Source organism: Homo sapiens, chromosome 4 (genome assembly GCF_000001405.40).
Source record: "Homo sapiens chromosome 4, GRCh38.p14 Primary Assembly".
NCBI lineage: Eukaryota > Metazoa > Chordata > Mammalia > Primates > Hominidae > Homo > Homo sapiens.
The window spans coordinates 75,327,482-75,331,794 of NC_000004.12; the positions used below are offsets into that span (position 1 = coordinate 75,327,482).

A 4,313-nucleotide genomic window follows, 5' to 3' on the forward strand; every position below is an offset into this window, starting at 1 on the left:
TAAAGCTTGTTTGTGCTATTTACCTCATTTTATACTGCCATTGTTTATAATATCTGCTCCTCTAAGCATATAGGCATACAAGCATTCAGTGTATCACTTCGGTGAGCTCAGGAAACTTGCTCTTTTGTTAAAAGAAATATTTGCAAAACCTAATGTAGTGCCTGGCACAAAAGCTAATCTGTTTTGTTGTTGTTGTTGTTCAATGGACTGATGAGTGGATGGGTCAGTGAATAAATGAATTGATGAGAAAGGAAAAAACATCAATTGTCACTTAAATCTGTCTGAAAGTCTGCTTTGCTCAGGAGGTCCTGGTCCCTTCTTCCTGCTGCATTGTCTTCAGAGTGATTATTCTGGAGCTTTATTTCCAGGACCTCCTGCCTGCTGGGCCTTTCTGGGAAGAAAAAAGTACAAGTCAGTTGCTGCAGAGTTGTCCTTGGAATTTCTCTATCTCCACATTTCTGCCCTACACCCAGCTGACTGTGCCCTAGGGGTCATCTTCTTGGTTTGTTTTGTGGGTAGGACACACAGGAATAAGCAGTACTGTTAGTTTTAGTCCTGGCCTTTCAAACCCAGTTTTTTTTTCTTAAGCAGAGATGCTCTCTTCGCTGTCAAACTGCCTGTGTCCTCCTCACCTCTCACTCTTTTTGACTTTGTCACTCTCAAAGGATGCAAGCCTTGTACAAGAGCAGAGAAGAGAGGAGGGCAATGGAAACCCTCCTCCAGCAAGCTGCGTTCTTTCCACCACAAAGAGCCAAGGAAAATGTTCCTCTGGGGTGCAATCAGGGCCAGGGCTCCTCTGACTCAACCCCCAGATGACCTAATAAATAGCAAGAAGAGGACAGAACATTCTAGGAGTCAGAAAGTCTCCCCATAAATGCCAGAGGAAGTGCAGAACAGTATCACAAGAGACCACAAGGGATCATAGAGCTGCCCGAATTGGCATAAGGCCACAAGTGCCCTCATAAATGACCAGAATATTACAGTAGGGGATCCCACAGCAGGCTCGGAAGGCCAGCAAGTCTGTATGAGGGACACGGGCACAGGGAAGAGGTCCTGAGTTCAGGTGCATCGCTGATGCCTGGGATGACAATCTCAGTCCAAATCCTGGAGTGACAGAGATGTGGCCAGGATCCAGTTGCTACCTACAGTTCTTCATTCAGGCCACGCTACTTCTTGCCTCCTCAGTGCCTGCTGTCTTTTCCGCCTGTAAGGTGCTCTTCCCTACTCCCTACCCTACTATTCTCGTATTGCTACCTGAGTTTGGCTAAGTTTGCTTATCCTTGTTCCCTGATCTCCCTCTCCCTGCATTGTCCCACAGTGTCTGCCTCCCCTGCTACCCTGTGAGGACCCAGAGGAGAGAGCCATCTTATTCGTGTGTGTATCTAAAGGGCCTTAGATGATGCCCTGCCTAGAGTAGGTCCCTCAATCAAACTGAATAAATGAATGAATGAATGAGTTTACAAATTATTTGAGACCAGATCTTCAAGAGAAGGCAAAAGCTATTTATCAGAACAGACACAAAACCAGAGTGAGACCATCAATGAATATAATATGAGACAGAGTCCTAAAGTCCCAGACAATTTCTCCTTAAAACCCCTCTACCAGAAGTCAAGATTAGTGTACGTTTTTGAGATGAAACTGAGTTTATAGATAAAAGTTTCACAGCCTCAACTCTGCTTGGCAGAGACTAAAGTCAGGCAGACTGACAGTATTTGCGGTGGACTGATTCTTTGATTCCCCTGACTTGGCAAGAGTTAGGACAATTTGGAAGTGACAGATGGGTAGGAGGAAATAAAGTGGTACTTGTTTTTAAGGGTAAAACCAGTACAAATATAATTGACCTGCTGAAATCTCTCCAGCCTAATTTTTTTCCTCCACACTCAATGTGCTCCAGCCTCCTCAGCCTTCTCTCAGTTTGTTGAATATACCTAGCTCTTCACTGCCTCAGGGCCCTTGGACATGCTATTTTCTCTGCCTCACATTTATGTCTACCTACATTTTAAAATATAAACTCCTTCTTTTCTACAAGTTTTAGCTTAAGTGATAATCTTCAGTGAAGCTCTTCATAGCCACTCTATTAAAAGCATTTGTCACCCATCACAGCCCATTAAATCTCAACCTCTTCTCTTTTTTGCACTTATCATGGTTATACAATCTTTAATTACTTCATTTATTTATCTACTTATTAGTGGTCATGAAGGGGATAGTCCCCCATACTGGGACATAATTTCATAACAACAGTGACCTAGGCTAGCTTGTTCATTATTTTATCTTCAGCACTTAACATATCACTAGGAACCCAGTCAGAGGTCATTGTTATCAGTCCTGTTGTTGTTGCTGTCACTATTATTTTCAAAAGAATTTCTGCAGCATTTATAAAACTGAACTGATTTATCAAATCATGTACTCAGGCTTGAGTTTCTTCATTTTCTACATATTTTGTGTATCTTGTTTCAGAAGCATTTGCTAATGCTTGCGGGACCATCTCAGCATTCAGCAATACATATTAAAGAATGGCATGTAGGTCTGAGTCTACCTTGTGAATAAATCCCTCCTAATAAAAGAAAATGAGATTTCATGATTAAGGGGTTTAGAAATAATCAAGAGAGGGTTAAAAATAAAACTAGCGGAGGCCGAGTAGACCAAAGAATAGCTACTGGCATGCCTTCCAAAATAATGTCCCAGATTATGATTTCACATGAAAAAAATAAAATAATTGCTTGCCAAGCCATATAAAAAGCATGAATTCTGGGAGAACTTAAACAGAAACTAAATCTTGATAGACCTATAGAGTATAGAACTCTCCCAGAATCCACTTTTGCTGGCCATTCTGAATGTTCCCTAGTCTAGCTTTCCATCATCATGGTGATGTGGTACCATCAGTAGTAATCAGTTGGGTAATGATGTGGTACCATCATTACCCAACCTTGGCCTGCTGTGTTAATTTTTTTTTTTTTTTTTTTTTTTTGAGACTGAGTCTCACTGTGTCACCAGGCTGGAGTGCAGTGGCACGATTTCAGCTCACTGCAACCTCCGCCTCCCAGGTTCAAGCGATTCCACTGCCTCAGCCTCCTGAGTAGCTGGGACTACAGGCATGTGCCACCATGCCCAGCTAACTTTTTTTTGTATTTTAGTAGAGACGGGGTTTTACCGTGTTGGCCAGGATGGTCTCGATCTCCTGACCTCATGATCCGCCTGCCTTGGCCTCCCAAAGGGCTAGGATTACAGGCGTGAGCCACTGCACCTGGCCTGTGTTAATTTTTTAAATTTCCCTAAGGAAAGTTTTTAAATGAACTCTACCAGTTTGCAAATACTGGAAGAAGTCCCTGCTCAGGCCCCAGGTATTTTAAACATTAGCCCTTTTTTTTTCCATGTTTGTCTTATCACAGCAGTCAAGCCATGTCCCATCTCCTTTAAACTAGATTTCAAAACTAATGAGTTGTAAACAAAATGTTCCTTCCTACAGGGAATACTAGTAGCTTTGTCTGCAGAAGGCTTAAAAATAAACATCAGACAGGAGAAGCTGGCAAGATGGCCTAAAAGGAAGAGCTCCGGTCTGCGGTTCCCAGTGAGACCAATGCAGGAGGTGGGTGATTTCTGCATTTCCAAATGAGGTACCCAGTTTATCTCATTGGGACTGGTTAGACACTGGGTGCAGCCCATGGAGGGTGAGCAGAAGCAGGGTGGGGTGTTGGCTCACCCGGGAAGTGCAGGGGTCAGGGAACTCCCTCCCATAGCCAGGGGAAGCCATGAGGGACAGTGCCTTGAGAGACAGTGCTGTCCAGCCCAGATACTACACTTTTTCCACAATCTTTGCAACCCACAGACCAGAAGATTCCCTCGGGCGCCTACACAACCAGGGCCCTGTGTTTCAAGCTCAAAACTGGGTGGCTGTTTGGGCAGACAGCAAGCTAGCTGCAAGAGTTTTTTTCATACCCTAGTGGCATCTGGAAAGCCAGTGAGACACAACCATTCACTCCCCTGGAAAAGGGGGCTGAAGCCAGGGAGCCAAGTGGTCTTGCTAAGCAGATCCCAGCCCCATGGAGCCCAGCAAGCTAAGAGCCACTGGCTTGAAATTCTTGCTACCAGAACAGCAGTCTGAAGTGCATCTGGGATGCTCCAGCTTGGTGGGGGAAGGGGCATCTGCTAATACGGAGGCTTGAGTAGGGGGGTTTCCCCTCACAGTGTAAACAAAGCCACTAGGAAGTTTGAACTGGGTGCAGAACACACCACAGTGCAGCAAACCCACAGTAGCCAGACTGCCTCTCTAGATTCTTCCTCTCTGGGCAAGGCATCTCTGACACAAAGCCAGC

At 44.5% G+C, this 4,313-nt stretch overlaps 1 annotated feature.

Annotated features, from left to right (window-relative positions):
- Window positions 1,994-2,495: an enhancer, noted in NCBI's record as "NANOG hESC enhancer chr4:76254685-76255186 (GRCh37/hg19 assembly coordinates)". NCBI's record gives its function as "activates a minimal SCP1, AML or CMV promoter by ChIP-STARR-seq in naive H9 embryonic stem cells {active_cell/tissue: H9 hESC(naive)}" and the evidence as "EXISTENCE:reporter gene assay evidence [ECO:0000049][PMID:30033119]".